Raw genomic sequence first — 24144 nt, forward strand, 5'->3', positions numbered from 1 at the left:
CACATCCCTGGATTCAACCTATCATGGATGGAAAAGATTTTTTAAAATAATGGTTGCATCTGTACTGAACACATAAGACCATTTTTTCTTGTCATTGGTCCCTAACAGTGCAGTTTAACAATTCCTGGCATGCCTTGTTTTATTGTGCTGTGATCTCTTGTGCTTTCCAGATATTAAAAACACAGTTTGCAAATTGATAGTGTGGCAACCCTGCCTCGAGGAAGTTCTTCAATGCCATTTTTTCCAACAGCATGTGCTCTGTGCCTCTGAGTCACATTTTGGATATTTTTACAATGTTTCAGACATTTTCGTTGTAGTTCTATCTGTTATGGTGATCTGTGATTGATGACCTTTGATGTTACAGTTGTCACTGCTTTGGAGCTCCATGAACTGTGCCCATCTAAGATGGCAAACTTCATTGATAAATGTTGTGTGTCTGATTGCTCCTCCAACCAGCCATTCCCCCATCTCTCCTATTTTCCTTGGCCCTCTCTCTTCCCTGAGACACAACAATATTGAAATCTGGTCACTTAATAACCTTGCAGTGGCCACTCAGTGTTCAAGTGAAAGGAAGAGTTGCACATACCTCACTTTAAATCAAAAGCTAGAAATGACTAAGGATAGTGAGGAAGGCATGTCTATAGCCGAGATAGGCCAAAAGTTGGGCCCCTTGTACCAGGTCGCTAAGTTGTGAATGTAAAGGAAAAGCTCTTGAAGGAAATTACAAATGCTACCCTAGTGAACCCATAAATGACAAAAAAGTGAAACAACCTTATTGCTAATAATGGAGGATGTTTGAGTGGACGTTTGAGTGTTCTAGATAGAAGATTAACCAATCCACAACACTTCCTTAAGCCAAAGCCTAATCCAGAGCAAGACCCTAACTCTATTCAATTCTATGAAGACGGAGAGAGGTGAGGAAGCTTCAGAAGAAAAGTCTAAAGCTAGCAGAGGTTGGTTCATGGGGTTTAAGGAAAGAAGCTGTCTCCATAACGTAAAAGTGCAAGGTGAAGCAGCAAGTGCTGCCGCAGAAGCTGCTGCAACTTATCCAGAAGATCTAGCTAGGATCACTGATGAAGGTGGCGCTACACTAAGCAAGAGATTTTTATGTAAACCAAACAGCCTTCTACTGGGAGAAGCTGCCATCTAGGATTCCCACAGCTGGATAGGAGAAGTCAAGGCCTGGCTTCAGAGCTTCAAAGAACAAGCTGACCCTCGTTTCAGGAGTGCACGCAGCTGGTGACTACAGTTGGAATCTGGTGCTCACTTACCATTCCAAAACTACCAGGGCCCTTAGGAATGAAGCTGAATCTACTCTGCCTGTGCTGTTTGAGTGCAACAACAAAGCCTGGATGACAGCACTTCTGTTAACAGCATGGTTTGCAGAATAGTTTAAACTCACTGTTGGGACCCACTGCTTGGAAAATGTAGATATACCTTTCAAAATATCCTGCTCATTGATAATCCACCTGGTTACGCAAGAAGTCTGATAAAGGTACACAAGGAGGCTGATACTGCCATAGATAGTGATTTCTCTGATGGATCTGAGCAAAGTAAATTGAAATCTTCTGGAAAGAAGACAACATTCTAGATGGCATTCATATCATTCAGGATTGGTAGGAAGAGGTCAAAATATCAACATTAACAGTAGTTTGGAAGAAGTTGATTCCAGCTCTCATGGATGACAAGGGATTCAAGACATCAGTGGAAGAAGCAACTGCAGATGTGAGGAAATAGCAAGAGAACTAGAATTAGAGGTGGAGCCTGAAGATGTGACTGTATTGCTGCAATCTCATGAGAAAACTGGAACTTATGAGGAGTTGCCTCTTACAGATAAGCAAAGAAAGTGGTTTCTTGAGATAGAAACTAGTTGTGGTGAAGACGCTGTGAACGCTATCCAAATGATAACCATAGATTTAGAATATTACATGAACTTAGTTGATAAAGCAGTGGCAGGGTTTGGGAGGATTGACTCCACTTTTGAAAGATGTTCTACTGTAGGAAAAATGCTATCAAATAGCTTCACATGCTACAGGGAAATCTTTCTTCAAGGGAAGAGTCAATGGATGCAGCAGACTTCATTGTTGTTTTAAGAAATTGCCACAGCACACACCCACCTTCAGCAGTCATCATTCTGACCCGTCAACAGCCATAAACATTGAGGCAAGTCCCTCTACCAACAAAAAGATGACAACTCGCTGAAAAAATTTTTAGTGTTTTTAGCAATATTGTTTTAAATTCCAGCTTTTATTTAAGATATAGGGGGGTACGGGTGTAGGATTGTTACATGGGTATGTTGGATCCGGGTAGTGAGCCTAGTACCCAGTAGATAGTTTTTCATCCTGTACCCTCCCCCTTCCAATAGTCTGCACTGTCCAATTTTCCCATGTATTTGACCACATGTGCTCAGTGTTTAGCTCCCACTCTCCCACTTGAGAACATGTGGTATTTAGTATTACGTTCTTGTCTTAATTCACTTAGGATTACGGCCTCCAGCTGCATCCATGTTGCTGCAAAGGACATGACTTCATTCTTTTCTGTGGTGGTGTAGTATTCCATAGTATACGTGCCACATTTTTCTTATCTACTCAATCATTGACAGACACCTAGGTTGGTTCCATGTCTTCCCTATAGTGAATAGTTTGGCGATGAACATATGAGTGCATGCATCTTTTTGGAATAATGATCTATATTCCTTTGGTTATATACCCAGTAATAGTACTTCTGGGTGAAATGTTAGCTCTGTTTTAAGTTCTTTGAGAAAACTCCAAACTGCTTTCCACAGTGGCTGAACTAATTTACATTCCCACCAACAGTGTGTAAGCATTGCCTTTGCTCCATGGTTTCACCAGTGCCTGTTGTTTTTTGGCTTTTTAATAGTAGCCATTCTGTCTAGTGTGAAATGGGATCTCATGTGGTTTTGATTTGCATTTGTCTAATGATTAGTGATGATGGGCATTTTTTCATATGCTTGTTGTCCACTTGTATGTCTTCTTTAGAGAAGTGTCTTTTCATGTCTTTTGCCCATTTTGTAGTGGGGTTATTTGGGGTTTTTATTGCTTGCTGATTTGTTCAAGTTTTTTATAGATTTGGATATTAGGCCTTTGTTGGGTGCCTAGCTTGTGAATATTTTCTCCCATGGTGTAGGCTGTCTGTTTACTCTGTTGATGGTTTCTTTTGCTGTGCAGAAACTCTTTATTATAAAGTGTATAAAATTTATAATCAATAAATGTACATTTGCCGATTCAATAAGTCAATCACATTTATTGATTTACAACATAATTTACTTAGGTCCCACTTGTCACTTTTTATTTTTGTTGCAATTGCTTTTGGAGACGTAGCCAAAAATTCTTTGGCAAGGCTGATGTAGAGAAGGATATTTCCTAGGTTTTCTTCTAGGATTTTTATAGTTTGAGGTCTTATATTTAAATCCATGGTAGGATAGCACCTCCCTGTCCCTTTGAAGTGAACCATGTTACCTGCTGTGAGCAGTGAAGTGGAGCAGAAGTCACAGGTGCCATTTCTGGGCAGAAGCTTTGAAGGGACCATGGTGAGCCACCCCATCATTTCTTCTGCCTAAGCAGTTTTGGGGGCACAGAAGTCGGGTGTTATGGGCTGAATTGTGTCCCCCACCCCCAAGTTGATACGTTGAAGTCCTAACCCCAAGTGCCTCAGAATGGGATTGTGTTTGGAGATGGGACCTTTAAAGGTGTAATTAAGGGGAAACGAGGTCATATGGGTGAGCCCTCATCCAATCTGTCTGGTGTCCTTATAAGGAGAGGAGATGAGGACACAGACACAGACCGAAGACCACATGGAGACACAGACAAGAGGGTGGCCACTTATAAGCCAAGGAGCCAGGCCTTAGAAGAAACCGATTCTGCTGATACCTTAGTCTTGGACTTCTGGGACCCCGAACTGTGAGAAACAATATTTCTGTTATTTAAGACCTCCATCTGTGGTATATTCTTACCGTAGCCCTAGCAAACTCGTATTGATTTTTGATACCAGGAAGTGGAATGCTGCTCTAAAAAATACGCAAAAATGTGCAAGTGGATAATGAGTAGAGGCTGGAAGAGTTTGGAGGTGCATGCTGCAAAGGCCTAGATGGTCTTTTTTATATGTTTAATTTCTGGTCAAAAATATTTTAGTTGTTTTATAGAGTTCTGGGAAAATAATTACCTAAGGAAAAGAAATAGCATTGCTTATAGGCGGGTTTGAATATTAGCCCTGTAGCTTTGCTGAGAAATTGAGAAATTCTTCTTGGTTAGAGTCCTGAATTACATTAAATGGAGGGATAGGGTTAAGGTGTTTATTTTGTGTTTTTTGCTTTCAGCTTGGTGTTTTTGGTTGTTGTTGTTGCCCCAAGTGAGTCCAAAACCCAACCGGGAAAAGAACATTAAATCTTAAAACTTGAGAACCTTCTTTGACTCCATGGCCCATGTTCCAGATATACTAGGATGTGGTTGGGCGGCCCAGGGCTTCAGGTGGCTCTTCCCCCATGGCTTTGCTGGGTGCAGCCCAGGCAGCAGCTCTCACATGTTGGAGTTTGATGCCTGAGGCTCTCCCAGGGTGGACTTGCACACTGCTGGCTCTACCATCCTGGAATCTTGGGGATAGCCTCTTCCCCACGGCTCTGCTGGGCATTGCCCTAGTGGGAACGTTCTGTGGTGTCCCTGCCCCTGTGGCAGTTTTCTGCCTGACCCCAAGGCTGTCTGGGACATACTTTGAAATGCAGGTGGAGGCAGCCATATCCCACAGCTATTGCACTCTGCACACCTGCAGAATGAGCACCACGTGGATGCTCCAAAGAGTTTTCTGCCTGTGTCCTCTGGAGGGGTGATAGCATGTCCCCCACTCCACCAGGGCCCATTGAGCAACACTTGGAGCAGCCAAGGAGCACCACAGCACAGTGTGGGAACCAGCGACTTCAGGGAGTGCTGGGCAGCAAGCCCCAAGGTCCTCAGGGGTCCTCAGGGCGCCCCAGGGCCTTTCTTGGAAACCGTACTGCCGTCAGTGCCCTGGCACCATGGGCCTGTGACGAGAGTGCGGCCTGAGTGATCCACACAATGCCTTCAGGGTCGCTCTTCCATTGTCCTGGTGAGGAGCACAGCCCTGATCCACGCAGGCCTCCTGACCCACACCCTCGTGTTCGCTCCCAAACACACTTTCTTATCTGTTCAAAACGGGCAGGCTGAGAAGGCTAAAAGTTTCCCAAATCTTTAAGTTCTGCTTCCCTTTTGATTATAAGTTCTGTCTCTAAATCATTCCTCTTTTTCTTTCATTTTCCTATAAACGTTCAAGACAATCAAGCCGCTCCTTCAATACTTTGCTGAGATATTTCTTCTGCCAAATTTCAGTTACATCACTCACAAGTTCTGCCTTCCACCAAACACTAGTGCTTTGCCACTTTATGGCAAGCGTCACTCACCTTTCCTCCAGTTTCCATTTACCTCTTCTTGATTTCCATCTGAGACTTCATCAGAATGACCTTTCCTTTCCATATTCTTTTTTTTTTGTTTGTTTTTTAGAGACTGGGAGCCACCGACATGCCAGGAGACAGGCCTGGAACAGAACCTTCCTGCACAGCCTCAGAAGAAACCCACCCTGCTGACACTTTGATCTTGGACTCATGGCCTCCAGTACTGTGAGACAGTAAGATTCTGTTGTTGAAGGTGCCCAGTCTGTGGTACTGTAAAACAGCCCTAGGAAACTAACATAGCCTATTAGCCTACAGGGTGAAGAGATGGAATTCGCAATGGACCTCCAGGCTTACTGTCTACAGCTCCCAAAGTGTGCTGTCGGACCCTTGGGTGTGTGTAGGTATGCAAGATAATTTTGGGTGGTGCAGAGTGAATAATGTCAACTTACATAATGGATTTATCTTACTGGATAAATCACGGGTTCCCTCCTGTTTGGAACCAGGCTGCACAGCAGGAGGTGAGCAGCCAGCCAGTGAGCAAAGCTTCATCTGTAGAAACAGCCGCTCCCCATCCCTTGCATTACCACATGAGCTGTGTCTCCTGTCAGATGAGTGGTGCCATTAGATTCTCATAGGAGCATGAACCCTACTGTGAACTGCGCATGCCAGGGATCTAGGTTGTGTGCTCCTTATGAAATCTAATGCCTGATGATCTGTCACTGTCTCCCATCACCCCCAGATGGGACCATCTAGTTGCAGGAAAACAAGCTCAGTGTTCCTACTTATTCTACATTATGGTGAATGGTATAATTATTTCATTATATATTACAGTGAAATAATAATAGAAATAAAGTGCACAATAAATGTAATGGGCTTGAATCATCTCCGCATCATCCTTTCCCCTTCTCCCGGGTCCGTGGAAAAGTCTTCCATGAAACTGGTCTCTGGGACCAAAAAGGTTGGGGACCACCGGTATAAATGCTTCTAAGAATAGTTAAGCAAATTAAGGTTTACATGCTGCTAAAAATATGGGTTTCAATGCTAAGAAAAATGGATGCACGTGAAAACACTCTCTTGCTGTGGTCCAGGGAATCTAAACCATTCTAACAGAGAAACGTGCAGCTTGGAGCTGGAGCTGCCCTCCGACATCCTGTCCACCTCATATCCCTGCACCACACACGCATGCACACATGCAAGCAGACATGTACACATGCATACGTGCATGCACATGAACGCACACACACGCACACATGCACATAAATACACGTGCATATACCTGCACACACACACACTCACACACACACACACACTCTCACTGTGCTTCATGCCCTAAGGTGGCCTGGGAGGGAATGCGTGTTTTTAAGGGGAATGAAGATGACTCAGGCCCCTCGTTCTCCTGGCGTTTGCACCAGTGTCTTCTCTGCAGACCATGCTTCAGTCTCTTTCTTGGCTCTCTCTCTTAGTGAAAGCAAGAAGCAGAGCCCCTGCGTGTACCTGGCTGCTTAGGGTGCAAGCCAAGTTCACAAGCTTCCCGGGGAGCCTGGTGAGAAGAAGGCACTGCAGAGCCTCCCCAAAAGAGGCGTCAACTTTTGGTGGATCCTTGAGCCTGGGAAAATGATAGACGGGACATCACAGTTCATCAGAAGACACAAACAAAATCCACTCAGGAAGAGCAGCAGTCAAAGGTTTTATTCTCTCGGAGAAGGTTCTCGGGGGCTGTAAGCAGCAGGCAGAAGACTTTATTGCATGTGTGGTTAGGTGATGGCAACCTCCAGTTTTCACTGGGAACTGGGATCAAGAGTGACCCGACCTCCTCCGCAGCCCCTAGGGATGAGTCAGCTGCCTCTTCTGCATGCTGACAAACCTTGGCTCTCATTTATGCCCCACCGCAAGCCAGCCACACCCCTGCCTCACCAGCATAACCACCTCCTCCTGACTTTAGCCCTGACAGCACTGCTTCCTGGTAACCTTCCCCCTCCCACCATGGTCCAGGCAAGCCTAAATGCCAGCGCCCTCCACCCACCCTTCCTGGGTGCCACTCTACTGTCTGCTTACCCAGATGTCTTAACCTGGCTTTACCAAGATGGAACAGACAACAGGGATGAGCCCCCAGCCTCTCCCAGGAAGGTTTGGCAAAATGCTCTCCATTTAGAAGCAGGGGCAGTGACGCGGCCTAGGGATGACCCCAGGCTTGTCACCCAAGCAGTAAGAAGGGCAAGGAGCCCAGTTTCATGCCCTTACCCTGGGAGGATGTGGCCAGGGCTCCACAAGTCCCTCGGGGGTAGGGGGAGTGCACAGGAGAGCAGATCCACCCTCCTTTTGAGGAAGTAGCCACCACTCCCAGGAAGCAGCAGATGGGGTGCACTGGCAGAGACCCTGCGTGCTGTAGAGCAGGGCCAGCAGATTTGCACTCAGCCTCAGCCCCAGGGGAGCTGCAAGACAGACTGAGACCCTCACAGGTTTGGCTCTGTGTCCCCACTCAAATCTCATCTGGAATTGTAATCCTCCTGTGTCAAGGGAGGAACCTGGTGGGAGGGGATTGGATTTGGGGACAGTTTCCTCCCGTGCTGCTCCCCTGATAGTGAGTGAATTCTCAGGAAAGCTGATGGTTTTAAAGTGTGGCACTTCCTTGTTCTCCACTTACTCCCTCCTGCCACCTTGTGAAGAAGATGCCTGCTTCCCCTTCACCTTCCGCCATGATTGTAAGTTTCCTGAACTGCGAGTCAGTTAAGCCTCTTTCCTTTATAAATTATCCAGTCTCAGGTATTTCTTTATAGCAATGTGAAAACAAACTAACACAGACCCCTTCCCTGAAGTGCCTTCTCCTTAGGCCACCAGCTGCCCCCATGCTCCTCCTCTGCCCCCTGGTCTTTCTTTTCCCCTCATGAGGCCCAAGTGATCCACAAGGCCAGCTTCACCTCCATCCTACTGCAGGCCTGTGCAGCTGCTGGAGAGGCCGGGCTCCTTTCCTCACCCCAGAGTGTATACGCTGCAGGCAGGCATGTTGACGCCTCAGGCAGTGGATACTGACTCTGGGCCCTGCTGACCCGGGCAAGGCCCCATTGTGATGCGTGCCATGACCTCAGAATGTCACTGGTGCTTAGCACCTGCTGCTCCCCGGCTTGCCTCTGTGTTCTACAGCAGCTACACACAGACAGTGGTATCTGTGAGTGGCTCTGTGGACTCAAAGGTTTTCTCCCTGAGAGGCATGACCCAGGCCAGCTGATTCTTCAGAATCAGGTGAGTGTGACCTGCTCTCTTCCCTGCAGGCTGACTTGGGGACAGTGGCTACGGGGTGGGCGATGTTGGCCTCTGGGCACCTGCTGAGGAGGGTCATCCCTGAGCACTCACCGGGTGCCCGTTCTACACTGCCCGTGTAGACAATTGTCTCTTTCGTCCTCATGGTGCCTCCATAGGGTAGGTGCTGTTCCCAAATGTACCCATTTGACAACTGAGACGTCTGGGGTCAGAGAAGTGGTAATCAACCCGGGAATCCCGACATGACCCTGGGTTTTGCTCTCAGCCCTGCCCTGTGCTGGGCTGGACTTAAGGCCTGAACCCTGTGGTCTCCCTGCCCTAGATCCCAAATCTGTCGAGGGTTTCCGATCCCGATGGGGCAGAGCCTGGCCCTGGCAGAGCCACTGGGATGGATCCACTGTGGGTGGGGTGGAGGGGAGGGTCCTAAGAACACATCTGTGTCCTAAGCTGGGTCCTGATGGTCCCTGTGGGACCAACTGAACACACATGGTCCCTTGTCCGGGAGTGGCATGGGGAGCCTTCTGCCTTTGGGCAGCTGTGGAAAATGAAGGAGCCCTGGAGAGCTGGCTGGAGGGAGGCTATCTTCCATCCTGTTCAACGGGGTCCAGGAACTGGGGTTGTCCCCAGGTATTTCTTTGTCTGGTCCTATCCAGGCCTTGCCCTCCTTTTGCTCCAAGTGTTCCCAGGAGGGACGATCCATCTAGGTGTTCCCCAGGACCAAAGACCCACTGTTCTTCCTCCGTGACCCAGGAAAATGAAGCCCCCTCCTGTATGGATAGCTCAGAATGGTGGAGTCCACAGTCCCTCCCCGAGAGATGTGGTTTCTATGAGTACAGAGGCTGCGTTGGACACAGTAGCTTATTTTCATTCCTTAAACCTGTTGTTCCTAAAGTGGCTTCACTGGTGAGACTGAAGGGCCATGGTAGCCCAAGTGATGAGCAGAGTAGAACCGAGCACTCAGGAGAGACCTTGTTCCCCGTAGGAAACTGAGCATCTCTGTGGTCCCGAGCATCCCAGAGACCTCTGGTCCCTGTCCCCAGTCTGCCTCCATATCCCTGGAATAGCCCATCATGGGCCCTTCACCCTTGGCAGGTGGACACCATTGAAACTGCCGGGGCAGGTGTATGCCCATTTCATGGCATTTGGGGACAATGGGACTCTCTGTCCAGGTCCCACTGTCCTCAAGTCCTTGGGAAGATGCACACCCCTGCTGGAGACTCCAGAGACCCATGCAGGTGTGGGCCACTGGGTCTAGCCCCTTTTCACCTGAGGGCGGTGGTGGAATGGGGGGTTACGCAGCCAGGCAGCATCTGGGAGCCGGGCAGGAGCAGTTCAGGTGTTCTCCGAAGCTCTCAGGTACAGTGTAACCTTTAGATGTTTTTGTCTCACAGGATGGACCTGATAGAGGACGCGGATACTTTGGAGGAGTGAGAGGACATCACTATGAAGTATGAGAAGGTACAGATCCATCTACTCCTTGGAGGGAGGCCTCTTCCAGTGCACCCTGGTCAAATGGTCCTGGGCTCCCTAGGAGCACAGTGCAGGGTGGCCACTACCCCCAGGCCCTTTCAGCCTTTACCTTGGACCCCTCACCAAGGCTCCCTCTGGGTTACAGGGACACTGAGCTGCACTGCCAGAGGACATGGGGCCTGTGCCTGTTGGAATCTACGGAAACATTGATCGCTTTGGGATTCTGCAGTGAGTCCTCTGTGCTCCTCTCAGCCCCTAAATCACCTGTCTCAGCTCATGGATGGGTTTGCTTTTAGAAAGGCCTTTCTGACGCAGGACATGTCTCCCCAGGTTGAGCCAACCTCCTTTCCAGGGTCAGAACTCCTCCCTGGCTCCCCTGCAGGTCCAGCCTGAGGTTGTTGTTAGGCCAGAGGTGTGGGGCCCATCTAGGGAGTGGGTGGGAATGGAGAGGGGGCTAGGTCAGGCCCCTGGGCTCTCAGCAGTTCTGTCGGCAAGTGAGCACAAAAGGAGCGGGGCAGCCTGAGGGTCTGGCCCTGTCTACCAGGAGACAACCCCAGTGAGATCCAAGGGTTGTGGCCACAGGGTGAGGAGACACCTGGCCCAGCCTCAGGGATGTTGTCCAGCAGGTCTCTGGGGGCCCAACTGCCCCTGTTCTCCCCCACTTCCCTAGAGCTACAGCCCTCACTGTCCCCATGGGGAAGGGGGAAAGGCATGAGGACCATAGGGGCTGTGGCCTTAGGGGAATGGGGGAGAAGATGGGCAGGGCCAAGTTCTGGGCATCTCACAAAGAGGCCAGGGAGGCAGCAGAGCTTGCAGCTAATGACCCTGGGTCTGGTGCTGGGAAGGGATCTGGGGCCAGGTAAGAGGAGCCTAGGGCCAGGTGTAGTCGCTCACGCCTGTAATCCCAGCACTTTGGGAGTCCGAGGCAGGCAGATCACAAGGTCAGGAGATCGAGAGCATCCTGGCTAACATGGTGAAACCCTGTCTTTACTAAAAATACAAAAAATTAGCTGGGTGTGGTGGCGCATGCCTGTAATCCCAGCTACTCAGGAGGATGAGGCAGGGGAATGACATGAACCCTGGAGGCGGAGCTTGCAGTGAGCCAAGATCACGCCACAGCACTCCAGCCTGGATGACAGAGGGAGACACCGTCACAAAAAAAAAAAAAAAAAAAAAAAAAGGAGCCCAGCCTGGAGCCCATCCCTCAGGGATCATAGGATGGAGAGACGGAGGACCTCGGGGGAGGTAGGGTGGGAGGAAGCTTATGAGCCATGCCACTTCTGAAATGCAAGGCGTGTGGCTCAGGTGCAGGGAGAGGCAGGTGGATGCTGGGAGGTCATACCCTGCGAGGGCCTTGGGAATGTCGGGTGGGATGGGCCCCTGGCGCACCCTGGGTGCACTGGGCAGGTCTCAGGGCAGGCTCCCTAGACCCTGGCGGGTCCACATCATGTGGTCACTCCCTGAGGGACTCCTGTCAGGGCCCGGTCACCCACCCTGGGCAGCCCCCATCCCATCTCAGGGCTGACCTTTCTCAGCTCCAGCAGAAAGCACCACCTCGAGTCCAGGATGGGCAGCCCCATTGTGCAGCCTGACCACCCCCGACACCAGGGGCCCCAGTAACCTTGGCCACGCTGGCTCTGCACTCCCTCTTCTCCCAGGTCCTGACCCCTCCTGGGAGTCAGCCCCACAGGAAGGCCTTTGTCCTCCTTTCCCTGTGCCTTCTCCTGGGCTGAGACCTGAGCTGGATGGGACAGAGCCAGTCCTTTCTGGAGGTCGACTCCCTGACCCGGATGGCTCCAGGCCCTGTGCAGGTCCTCAGCTCTGCCTGGGTTGCCTTACAGTGAGAAGAGGCTGCCCCCTGTCAGCTCCCGGGAGGCAGAGGTAAGAGCCTGGTCCAGGGACGGGGGGACGTGGCGGGTTGTTGATGAGCAGAGGAGGCAGTGGGCCTGGGCGGTGGCCAGTGAGGATAACACGCTGTCACTGGGAGGGGTAGCAATCCCTGCTGGACCTGACCTCAGGTTGCTGTATCTCTGGCAGTTTGATGAAATTCCAAAGTGAGAACCACAGTCCTGGCTTGGGGATGGCTGCCCACTTGTGTTAGGACCCCACCTAGAGGCTGGGCTCTGACCTACGACTGGTGTGTCTGTGGCCTGAGGATGGCACGTCCCAGGGTCCCAAGGCCAGCCCACTGGTGCTCATTCGCTCAAAGGCTCTCAGCCCTTAGGGTCTGCCCTTCCCTGGCTTTTTCTAGCTGGGTCCCACCAGGGCTCCAGAGCCCAAGACCCAGCATCCAGGGACGGCTCCGGGAAGCCTGGTAGCTCCGCTAACTCCAACATTCCTCATTTGACAGCAAATGCAGCAGGAGATGAGACGCAAGAGCAAGTGGATGGCAATGCTGGGAAAATGGGAGACATATCAGAACAGCAAAAAGGTCATGTGTGGAGGGAGAGGCCCCCAGAATCACTTTCTGCAGAAACAGGGCACAGGCACCCATGGCTATGACCTGGCAGCGTAAGCCTCTCAGAGGGCAGGTGGCACACTGTCCTCACCTAGAGGACCGCAGGCCTGGTTGCCAGCTTTGCTGCCTGTTCATGCAAGCGTCACCTTGCTGAGAGAGAATCTATATCTAGGGCTGGGGCCACCGGGAGCTCAGGGCTAGGGAAGCCTCCTGGTGACCTGAAGGAAGGAAAAGGTCCAGATCAGAGTTCAGACTTTGAGTGTCCATCCCCTCTTTCAGTCCTGGGAAGGGAGACCCTGTCCCAGCTTGACATCACCTCTCCTGACGAATCATGGGGCCAAAATCAAAGATTTCCAGAATCCTCGGGCTCTGGTTCTCGCTGGGGTTGTCGCGGGGCCTGTGACACCAGATCGTTTTCTGCCCACAGCTGATGAAGCGAGTGTATAAGGGCATTCCCATGAACGTCCGGGCCGAGGTGTGGTCAGTCCTCCTGAACATTCAGGAAATCAAGGCGAAAAACCCCAGACAATACCGGGTATGCTCAGCCACAGCACAACAAACAGGCCAGGCCGTGTCAGCGGCCCAGGTCTCCAGCTGGAGGGAACGTCAAGCCCCGCTTTGGAGGGTGGGTGGGATGGTCAGATGCACATCCTGAGCACGGACAGTGACACAGGCACCACAGGTGAGCTCGGCTCTGGTGACCCTCCCTGGCTTCCGAAACAAGCCAAAAAGCAGCTTTCTGCAGAAAGAAACCTTCCTTCTTTCCTTCCTTCCCGAAGTGCTGACTGTGGGCTGACTGCCATTTGGGGCAGGGAGTCTTCCATCTGTTCTGAGGCTGTTTCCTCCTCTTGGCCCTGCCCTACAGGTCATGAAGGAGAAGGGCAAGAGGTCATCTGAGCACATCCACCAGATCGACCTGGCTGTGAGCCAGACACTAAGGAACCACATGTTCTTCAGGGATCGATATGGAACCAAGTAAGCCTATGGGAGCCACAGGGTCCCAGCGGAGATGGGGTGAATGAGAGGGATGGGGATTTCCCCGGAGCAGAAGCCAGGGTCACCCAGGAGGGATGACAGAGCTGCCAAGAGCTCTCCTGGTCCAGGGAGCAGGCGGCACCATGGACTGAGCACCTCCCAGGTTCCAAGCCCTGGGCCAGACTGGAACATGGGGGGCCAGAACCCAAGAGGATCCTGAGGAGACAGACGGCAGCAAACAAAATCATGCACAATGGTGAAAGGTGCTCTCCCTGACCCATGGGGACCCATGGTAGGACCCTCGGGAGGGTGGCAGGTTGGAGGGCCCGTAAGCCTCCCCAGGCAACACTGATAGTACCAAAAGCTGGGGAGATTCAGGGACCTGGAAACTGTCATCCAGGTCTGCTGGGAACGTGACATGGCACAGCCACTTTGGCAGCCAGTTGGGCAGTGGCTCACAAAGTTCAATGGACTTGAACCACGCGTCCCCAAAGTGTCACAGATATTGAACCCACTGATTTGAAAACTGACGTCCACATGAAACCTGCAGGCCAGGTTCACTGCTTGATTCCTCGTCACTCACACACGGAGCCTTCGGGGATGGCCTTCAACACGGGAATGGGGAGAACAAGGCTGGTCCTCCCTTCAAACGGAAGACCCAGTGAGAAAAGGGAACGAGCCAGTGATGCCCGCATGAACGTGGGTGGATCCTAGGTGCATTTTGCTAAGGGAAAGAAGCCAGACCCAATAAGCTACCAAAGTAGGATTCCCATTCTTAGGCCATTGTGGAAAAGGCCAAACCATAGGGACTGAGAAGCAGTCTGGGTGGCCAGGGGCTGACGGATCGGGGAGAGGCTGGGTGCATAGGGGCCACCCTGGAGACTTGGAGGATGAAGGAGTCGCTCCAGGAGGGGCTGGAGTGGTAGCCGGGAGACTCTGCACATTGGTTTAGAACCATGGAGGACCTGTACACCCAAAGACTGAATTGGCGTGTGTGCAAACTGAAAAAAAAAAGATCATTCAGAGTGAAAAGGATCAGGCAAGTCACTGTACAACTGGGCTATTTGCATGTCACAGATGTGGATTTTACTGAAACATTTCTTCAACAGTCAAAGTCCCTGAAGAGCTCACTGCTTATCTGGTGAATCATCTGAACCTGAAATGGGATTTGTTGTTAGGGTTTGTAGACAAAGTGAAACTAACAGCATCTGCACAACACAAACCAAAGCCCCCTTTCTCTGTTTCCCAGGCAGCAGGAACTATTCTACATCCTCCTGGCATATTCGAAGTATAACCCAGTGAGTATTCCTGGCAGTGAGGTTCCCAGGCCGTATTTCCATATTCACAGGAGTGGGTGTCTGGTGGGAGTGTCGTTGCTTCTTTTAAAGTTAGTATTTGTGACCCACCAGGATATAGGAGGTAGGATTCCAGCTCACCGCTGGCATAAACCTCCAGCAAGGGGGTGGTCTCAAGGGGTCAAGCTGAGACACAGAGGAGTCAGGGCCTGGACTCCTGGTGTCACCTGGGCCTGACCACCACTTATCGGAACAAGCCCCTCCTCCTGGGGCTGCCCCAAAGCCCGGGAGCTTGGCAGCATCACACACAGAATGGTGCTATCAGGAGACATTTTGGACAAGGTGCTGAAGTGCCCGATGGATATGGCTCTTGTCATGAAATGAATTTGCATCCTGAGGAAGTCTCTTCTTCAGAGGAAGCCTTCCCAGTCACCTCTGCCCTCTCCGATGACATGAGTCCTCCCAGGTGACCTCAGCCCTCCCAAGTGACTTACTTCCACGGTGACTCTGGCTGTTGCAGGTGGTGGGCTACTGCAGGGACCTGAGCCACATCGCTGCCTTGTTCCTCCTTTATCTGCCTGAGGAGGACACATTCTGGGCACTGGTGCAGCTGCTGGCCAGTGAGAGGCACTCCTGCAGGGTAGGTGAACAGCTGCCCCTGGGGCTTCACGCAGCCAGACCCGGGGATGGCCACCCTGGCCAGGTGATCTCGGCTTTCAGCCAAGGCACCTTCCTTGTGTCGCCAGCTTGTTGGGAGCCTTTAGGACGTCTCTGCTGACGGTCCCAAAGGAACCCGGAACTGACCCCCCAGAGCCCAAGTCAGACGCCTTTCATCCCCATCAGCAGAAGGCATCTCATCCTCCCCGTGGCTGCCCTCTGTGTCCTGGAGCCACGCCCTCCGGCTCTGATTCTGTGCAGCTGGCTCTCCGCAACCTGAGAGTCCTCCTGCCCTTCAGTTGCTCAGGCTCCAGCTGCCCTTGGTACCCACGAAAGGGTACCAAGCCCAGATGGCAGCATCTCCCCATCCCGTGTCCCTTGGCCCAGCCCCACTTCCAGGAGACGACCACAAAGCCCAGCACCCACCCTGTTCTGGCCGCCCCCTGTCGTGGCCTCAAAGTCAGGCTTGCCCTCCCGGCACCCTGGCCCAGGAGGCCTCCAGGGGCACCTCCAGCCAGGCTCCAGGGGATGTTCCCACCCCTCCTCCCCAGGGCCAAGGCCACATGGTGGGGTCACCAGATGGGAGGGTGGGAGGCCTCGGGGTCTGGGGGGCTCTGCAGCTGCCCAGCTCTTCCAGCTGATGGCTCCACATCTTGGGGGAAGGCTCTGATTTCATGACGGGCTGGGGGCTTCTCAGGATTCCACAGCCCAAATGGCGGGACAGTTCAGGGGCTCCAAGACCATCAGGAGCATGTGGTACCCACATCACAACCCAAGACCATGGGGCATCTGGTGAGTTTATGGTCCCCTCGGCTCTTCCCCAGAGGCCCTGCATCCTGGGGGGCTGGAGGAACAGCGGGGGCTGCAGCCCCTCATGGGGCTGGTGACAGGCTGAGTCCCAGCCAGGGCCTGACCTGGGATGTCGGGTTCCCCATGGGCTGGGAGTTGGGTTTCCTTTCCAGCCCTGGAGGAGACAGAGGCACAGGGATGGGGGCCCTGCTCCCACAGAGAAGGGCTAAGGGCAGTGTGTCCACCGGGAGTGCCGGAAGGGGAAGATGTTGCGGGGAGCCTGGGACACTGCCCAGTGTTCTGCACTCGGGGAAGGGTCTTCAGAGGGCCCTGGAAGAGGGAGGTTTTTAGGGCAGCCCATGGGGCCCTGAGCACCTCTGTTCCTCCCATCAGGACAAGGAAGGTCTATGCACACAGGGTTCCTCATTCAGCTGGCTTCTCCGGGTGCTGAATGATGGGGTAAGGAGGCACAGGGAGACCCTGGCTCAGGGACCCTCCTTGCCCTGCAGTGCCCTGCTTCCCCAGCCAGGGGGTCCAGCTCACCCCAGTCCACAGGAGGCTCAGGCAGATCCCCAAAGGACACACAAGCAAGACCCTCTGCCCAAGAGGGCTCATCCCAGTGCAGAGGACAGGGCTCAGGACCAGCCTCATGGACAGACTGGGCCAGGACCCAACTAGGGAGGGCTCAGGGGAGCCTCAAGCCCTGGGCAAGCCCCTCTCTGCACTGAAATGAGTGCCCCCCCATAAGGAGCTGCAAGACCTTGTCTGACCCAGCCTCCTGGAGGGGTCGGGTGACCCTCATGGGGAAGGTCAGTGAAGCCCCAATGGGCTAGCTCGAGCCACCAGCCCCAGCCTGGAAGGGCCAGGTCCTCCCATGCCTACTTTCCCCACAGATCTCTCTCGGGCTCACCCCGTGCCTGTGGGATATGTATTTGCTGGAAGGGGAACAGATGTTGATGCTGATAACAAGCATTGCCTTTAAGGTTCAAAGGAGTAAGTCCACGTGTGCCCAGTGGGGCCTGGGGAGCACTGGGGTCAGACCCCGACTAGCCTAAGGGCAGCTTCCTCACACTGTCCTCATGATCCTGTTCTGGCCAAGGGGGAGGTCTGGCCAGGTGGGCTGGGCAGGGCACAGTGACACCGAGCCCATCCCTCACATGACCCAGATGAAAGTCAGGAGTGTGGTGAGCACTTCCCTGCCCAGGCCCCCCCAACCAGCCACAGCCTTCTGTGCACATCTGGACCCCTGGGGTGGCCACAAAAGGATCTGGCACTGCCCAGTGGGAGACTGAAGTGGTCACAGGGTGTGGGCTCTGACCCTTCCCAGGGAACTCTCCTGGCCTGATGCCCACCTTGTCCCTAGAGCGCCACATGAAGATGTCCAGGTCTGGCCTGTGGGCACGTTTTCAAAACCAGTTCTTCCATACCTGGGCCCTGGATGATGACACTGTTCTTTTTTTTTTTTTTTTTTTAATACTTGAAGTTCTAGGGTACATGTGCACAACGTGCAGGTTTGTTACATATGTATACATGTGCCATGTTGGTGTGCTGCACCCATTAACTCGTCATTTACATTAGGTATATCTCCTAATGCTATCCCTCCCCCCTCCCCCCACCCCATGACAGGCCCTGGTGTGTGATGTTCCCCTTCCTGTGTCCAAGTGTTCTCATTGTTCAATTCCCACCTATGAGTGAGAACAGGCAGTGTTTGCTTTTTGGTCCTTGCAATAGTTTGCTGAGAATGATGGTTTCCAGCTTCAGCCATGTCCCTACAAAGGACATGAACTCATCCTTTTTTATGGCTGTATATGTGCCACATTTTTATGGCTGTATATGTGCCACATTTTCTTAATCCAGTATATCATTGATGGACATTTGGGTTGGTTCCAAGACTTTGCTATTGTGAATAGTGCCACAATAAACATATGTGTGCATGTGTCTTTATAGCAGCGTGATTTATAATCCTTTGGGTATATACCCAGTAATGGGATGTCTGGGTCAAATGGTATTTCTAGTTCTAGATCCTTGAAGAATCGCCACACTGTCTTCCACAATGGTTGAACTAGTTTACAGTCCCACCAACAGTGTAAAAGTGTTCCTATTTCTCCACATCCTCTCCAGCACCTGTTGTTTCCTGACTTTTTAATGATCGCCATCCTAACTGGTGTGAGATGGTATCTCATTGTGGTTTTGATTTGCATTTCTCTGATGGGCAGTGATGATGAGCATATTTTCATGTGTCTTTTGGCTGCATAAATGTCTTCTTTTGAGAAGTGTCCATATCCTTCACCCACTTGTTGATGGGGTTGTTTTTTTCTTGTAAATTTGTTTGAGTTCTTTGTAGATTCTGGATATTAGCCCTTTGTCAGATGAGTAGATTGCAAAAATTTTCTCCCATTCTGTAGGTTGCCTGTTCACTCTGATGGTAGTTTATTTTGCTGTGCAGAAGCTCTTTAATTTAATGAGATCCTATTTGTCAATTTTGGCTTTTGTTGCCATTGCTTTTGGTGTTTTAGACATGAAGTCCTTGCCCATGCCTATGTCCTGAATGGTAATGCCTAGGTTTTCTTCTAGGGTTTTTATGGTTTTAGGTCTAACATGTAAGTCTTTAATCCATCTTGAATTAATTTTTGTATAAGGTGTAAGGAAGGGGTCCAGTTTCAGCTTTCTACATATGGCTAGCCAGTTTTCCCAGCACCATTTTTTAAATAGGGAATCCTTTCCCCATTTCTTGTTTTTGTCAAGTTTGTCAAAGATCAGATGGTTGTAGATGTGTGGTATTATTTCTGAGGGCTCCGTTCTGTTCCATTGGTCTATATCTCTGTTTTGGTACCAGTACCATGCTGTTTTTGTTACTATAGCCTTGCAGTACAGTTTGAAGTCAGGTAGCATGATGCTTCCAGCTTTGTTCTTTTGGCTTAGGATTGTCTTGGCAATGCGGGCCCTTTTTTGGTTCCATATGAACTTTAAAGTAGTTTTTTCCAATTCTGTGAAGAAAGTCATTGGTAGCTTGATGGGGATGGCATCGAATCTATAAATTACCTTGGGCAGTATGGCCATTTCCACAATATTGTTTCTTCCTATCAATGAGCATGGAATGTTCTTCCATTTGTCAGTGGATGACACTGTTCTTAATCATCTTCAGGCCTCTATGAAGAAACTAACAAGGAAACATGGGGACCTGCCACCCCCAGGTGGGCTCCAGTACCAGGTCCCTTCCTGAGTCACCTTCTGGGGCAGTCAATACTAGGGGAGTGCCCAGGAACCCCATCCCTACTACCTGGGTCTTCCTCTTCAGCTTCTCTTCTTCCTCTTCCTCCTGGACTCTAAGAAAGTACAGGAGGCCCACCATTCCTCAGGGCAGGCGCTCAGTGCGTGTGTACTGGACGTGCTGTGCATGCAGGAGGGGGATGTGGGCAAGACCCTCCAACAAGCCCCCTCCCACTTCCCACGGTAGCCTGTTCTCCCCCTCACAGGGCCCTCAAGGGCACTGGAAGAGCCAGACCCATTTGTGAGAGCCTCCACTCCTCCCTGCAAGCGCTGACAGCCTCAGAGAGCAGCAGAGGCCCCTCACTCCTGCAGACTCCTCCAAGGGTGCCAGGACAACAAGCCTTGAGCCGGGGAGACAAGGGAATCAGTGTCTCATTATCTCTACCATCTCTACCATCTCGGAGAGGGAGATGTGGCAGGATAATAGGGTAATAGTGGGGTGAGGGTCAGCAGGAAAACATGAACAAATGTCTCTGTGTCATAAACAAGGTTAAGGAAAAGGTGCTGTGCTTTGATGTGCACATATATAAACATCTCGGTGCATTAAAGAGCAGTATTGCCTCCAGCATGTCTCACCTCCAGCCCTAAGGCAGTTTTCTCCTATCTCAGTAGATGGAATATACAATCGGGTTTTACACCGAAACATTCCATTGCCCAGGGACAAGCAGGAGACAGATGCCTTCCTCTTATCTCAACTGCAAAGAGGCATTCCTTCCTCTTTTACTAATCCTCCTCAGCACAGACCCTTTACGGGTGTTGGGCTGGGGGACGGTCAGGTCTCTCCCTTCCCATGAGGCCATATTTCAGACTATCACTTGGGGGAGAAACCTTGGACAATTCCTGGCTTTTCTAGGCAGAGGTCCTTGTGGCCTTCCACAGTGTTTTGTGTCCCTGGGTACTTGAGATTAGGGAGTGGTGATGACTTTTAAGAAGCATGCTGCCTTCAAGCATTTGCTCAACAAAGCACATGCTGCATAGCCCTAAATCCATTAAACCTTGAGTGAACACAGCACATGTTTCTGTGAGCACAGGGTTAGGGGTAGGGTTACAGATTAACAGCATCTCAAGGCAGAAGAATTTTTCTTAGTACAGAACAAAATGGAGTCTCTTACGTCTACTTCTTTCTACATAGACACAGTAATAGTCTGATCTCTCTTTTTTTCCCCACCGCCACCGCCACCCCAAAGAGGGGCAAAGGGGACCCCGGAATCTTGGACAAAAACCTCAGTGTTCAGGTGTCAGGGTGGGCCTGGAGTTCCGGTCCAACCACAGACCCATCACCCTCAGAACTGAAAATGGTCTTCAAGGTCACCAAAGGCTATCAATACCCCAACCGGAGAGGGCAAAAGCCTTATCCAGGTTAAGCAGCACAAAAGTGAGAGAGCAGAGACTCGAGCCAGCTCTAACTCCCAAGCCAGGATTCACACCAACTCTCGAAGTGGAGTCTCTGAGAACTCTTCACTCTCTGCCCCCATCGTGTGTGCGTGCACACACACCCCTTTCTCATTGGCTCACTGCCCCCCGCCAAGTTCCCCATTCCAGGAGATGTCTGGGCGGGATTATACACAAGCCCAGCACTGCAGAACTGAGGATATGCATGGGCTGAGAAGCTGCAGGAAGTTGCTGACCAACGCACCAAACTGCTCAGCCAACACCACAGATCACGCACCTGCTGTGTGCACAGCTCTCGGGGGCTGGGGGTGAAGAGGGAGATGATGACACAGCCTCAGACCTTATAAGAACTTATCATTTGACCCTGGAGGGAAAACTAATGCTGGAAAATACAGAACCTGGCTAGAAAGCCTGGGGTGCTGGGCTTGCCTGCCACGCCCACATCACAGGAGGCAGCTGGGGTAGGCATTACCCCGCTGAGCCTCAGCGGGGGCTGCCCTCAGGGGGCTGCCCTCCTGGCCTTGATCCCTGAAAGGGTCCTAGCAGAGAGAGGCACCAGCAGGGCCTCAGAGGATCTGAGTTGACAGAGGAGGAGGAGGCATTTCCTCTGCACCAGTGATGCACACCTGCCCCAAGGTGGCCAAGATCCAGGACCAATAAGCCTGGCGAGCACAGAGAAGCCCGGTGGGCATCCTCCAGGCAGAGGATTCCTCCCTGCACCCTGCCTCCTTCCTCCCTCCTTCATCCTGCCCATGTCAAGCATGAGGCATGAGATCATGGCATACCTGAGGCAGCTGGGAAACACCATTGGCCAATGCCACATCTTGGCTTGCAGTGACTCTCCAACCAGACAGATCATCAGAGTCCCAAAGAAGATTCGCAGCCCTGCTCCAACTCCCGCATCAGCACCGCTCAGGATAAGCCTGCTGGTGGGGCTGTTTTACAAGCTCCCCAGCCAACTCAGGCTGGGAAGGCAAGAGGCAGCTTAGGGGGGCTGAGGAGGGGGGCAGAGAAGCTGAGGGGAGAGAGGGGGCTTCTGCAGGGCCCCCAGCTCCGGGTGGACAAGCCAGAGCCACAGGCTTCAGGGCAGGAGGAAGGAAAAGTAGAGCCCCACTGAGCCAGGACAAAGCAGCCTGGAATCGGGGCAAGCAGGGGCAAAACCTTGGGCAGGACATTCAGCCTCTCTGAGCCTCAGTTTCCTTCTCTGGGAAATGGGAATAACAGCCCTGCCTCACAGGCAAATTAGGGGATTAGAGGCCAAATAAATAAAGCACCTGGCAAAGGCTGGTGGCTAGCGTTATGTTTATGAGCAGGTGTTTATAAAGCACCTACTATGTGCCTGGCATTGTGCTGGGCACTCAGACTCAAAGAAGACAGAGAAGCCCTGGAGACATAGTCTTCTGAGGGGAGAAGCTGGTAAAGACAATCCCAATACACTAGTATCAGGCCACGATGGGGTACTGGGGTCCTGCAGAGAAACAGAGGGAGCAGAGTCCCTGGGGGAGAACGAATGTCCAGGCCCAGGCTCTGCCCCTGTGACAGCTCCCGGGATCTGGGGAAATCTGTGAGTGCCAGGCCACCTTCGGGGGTCCTCTCACCTCCTGCATGTTTGATACCCCCTTCTGAAGGTGGGGCTGTCATAGCCCTTCACAATCCAACCACAGATCTTCAGCTTCTGCCTTGATGACGGGGTGAAACATTCTGTGCGGTGGGCAGGGTGGGTGTGGACGAACTGTGAGTCCCTCCATGAGTCCCATAGCTGGCTCCCCAGTCCAGCCCAGGCACATGTCCTCAGCAGCCTGGGCCCACTTGGGGTGCCTATTCTGCACAAACAAGGGGCCCAGACTCCTGTGTGAGTCTCGGGAAACCCCCAAGAGGGGCTCCCATTGCCCCCACCCCAGGAATGTGAGCAGGAAGCTGGTGCCTCCAGGGAAGGCTGTCAACCCCAGGGGGGTGTGGGAGAAAGAGTGGGCCTCTCTCAGGGATGTTTCTTCAAATGGTCACTACAGCTCAGGGTGAGGACGGGACTCTGTCAAGCTCAGTTATCCCCTCGGCTCTGTGCATGGGGGGAGACCTGCCTGGCTCTGCTCCCTCTGTTCCCCTCATTTCCCCAAAACCTGGGTTGCCACAAGAGACCCACACTGCATAAGGGCTGAGGGACTGTTGTCACTCCTTCAGGTCCCCATGGGGCAGGCACTGTCTCACGGAGTCAGGACTGCTGTCTCCTCCTTCCCCTGGACTCAGTACAAACCAGACACAGAGCGATGTCATGCCATAGATGAGTGTCCCCCACCACATCCGTCTCCCTACAAGACATGCTGCCAGGTCAACCCCTGCAAGGGGGGTCTGGAGGCAGCTACCACTGGCATGGGCCTGGCCTGAGAGTCCTATGTGTGTGTCCATCACATGAGACCAGGTGTGGCAGCTCCATAGGGCAACCACATATCCGCAGCTTCTGCCTTGATGACAGGAGTTGAAACATTCTGTGCAGTGGGCAGGGAGTGTGTGGACGAACTGTGAGTCCCTCCTTGAGTCCCATAGCTGGGTCCCCAATCCAGCCCAGGCACACGTCCCCAGCATCCTGGGCCCACTTGGGGTCCTTGGACAAAGTCACTCAAGTCTCCCCACCACCCCTGGCAACCACTGCCTCTGGCACCTCGACATCACACTGCACACACATCCCTCCTGTCCCTGCCACCGCCTCCCTCCATCCCATCCCTCTGCCGGTGGCCCTGTGTGAGTCTTGCCTCCCCAGATGGGTTATTTGATTCTGACCCAGTGTGTCCTGCCAGGGAGGAGCCATGTAGACTCCATGAAATCCGTCTCCATTTCTCTGCAGTCTCCAGGACATAGATTTGCTCCCATCTCCCCCATCAGACTGGGATCACCAAGACAAAAACCAGGCCCCTATCTCCTCCATTAGACTACAAACCCTGGGGCTAGGATCATGTCTTCTCCATCAGACTGGAATTTGGAGGACAAGGACCATGTCCCTATCTCCCATCAGGCTAGAGTCCCCAGAGACAGGACTGCTTTTGCTCATCCGAAAGCTGTCAAGAACAAAGATCATGAGACCATGTTCCTGTCTTCCCATCAGATGACAATCTCCAGAGCTGGGACCTGTCTCCATCAGACTAGGATCTCCAAGGTAAGGACCA

The 24144-nt window shown here is 52.0% G+C and overlaps 2 pseudogenes across 1 annotated transcript, besides 3 other annotated features; both read left to right on the forward strand.

The window, feature by feature from the left end:
* Positions 7619 to 8149: an enhancer, noted in NCBI's record as "H3K4me1 hESC enhancer chr17:28878036-28878566 (GRCh37/hg19 assembly coordinates)". NCBI's record gives its function as "activates a minimal SCP1, AML or CMV promoter by ChIP-STARR-seq in primed H9 embryonic stem cells {active_cell/tissue: H9 hESC(primed)}" and the evidence as "EXISTENCE:reporter gene assay evidence [ECO:0000049][PMID:30033119]".
* On the forward strand, positions 12946 to 15524 carry LOC100420311 (TBC1 domain family member 3 pseudogene; annotated as a pseudogene).
* TBC1D29P (TBC1 domain family member 29, pseudogene) lies at positions 16167 to 20094 on the forward strand (annotated as a pseudogene). Its single transcript, NR_172920.1, has 5 exons — positions 16167 to 16327; positions 16718 to 16783; positions 17218 to 17317; positions 19470 to 19518; positions 19801 to 20094. The product of NR_172920.1 is annotated as a TBC1 domain family member 29, pseudogene (transcript).
* Positions 22508 to 23103: an enhancer, noted in NCBI's record as "H3K4me1 hESC enhancer chr17:28892925-28893520 (GRCh37/hg19 assembly coordinates)". NCBI's record gives its function as "activates a minimal SCP1, AML or CMV promoter by ChIP-STARR-seq in naive H9 embryonic stem cells {active_cell/tissue: H9 hESC(naive)}" and the evidence as "EXISTENCE:reporter gene assay evidence [ECO:0000049][PMID:30033119]".
* Positions 23104 to 23698: an enhancer, noted in NCBI's record as "H3K4me1 hESC enhancer chr17:28893521-28894115 (GRCh37/hg19 assembly coordinates)". NCBI's record gives its function as "activates a minimal SCP1, AML or CMV promoter by ChIP-STARR-seq in naive H9 embryonic stem cells {active_cell/tissue: H9 hESC(naive)}" and the evidence as "EXISTENCE:reporter gene assay evidence [ECO:0000049][PMID:30033119]".

The sequence above is a fragment of the Homo sapiens genome, chromosome 17, assembly GCF_000001405.40.
Source record: "Homo sapiens chromosome 17, GRCh38.p14 Primary Assembly".
NCBI classification, from domain to species: domain Eukaryota; kingdom Metazoa; phylum Chordata; class Mammalia; order Primates; family Hominidae; genus Homo; species Homo sapiens.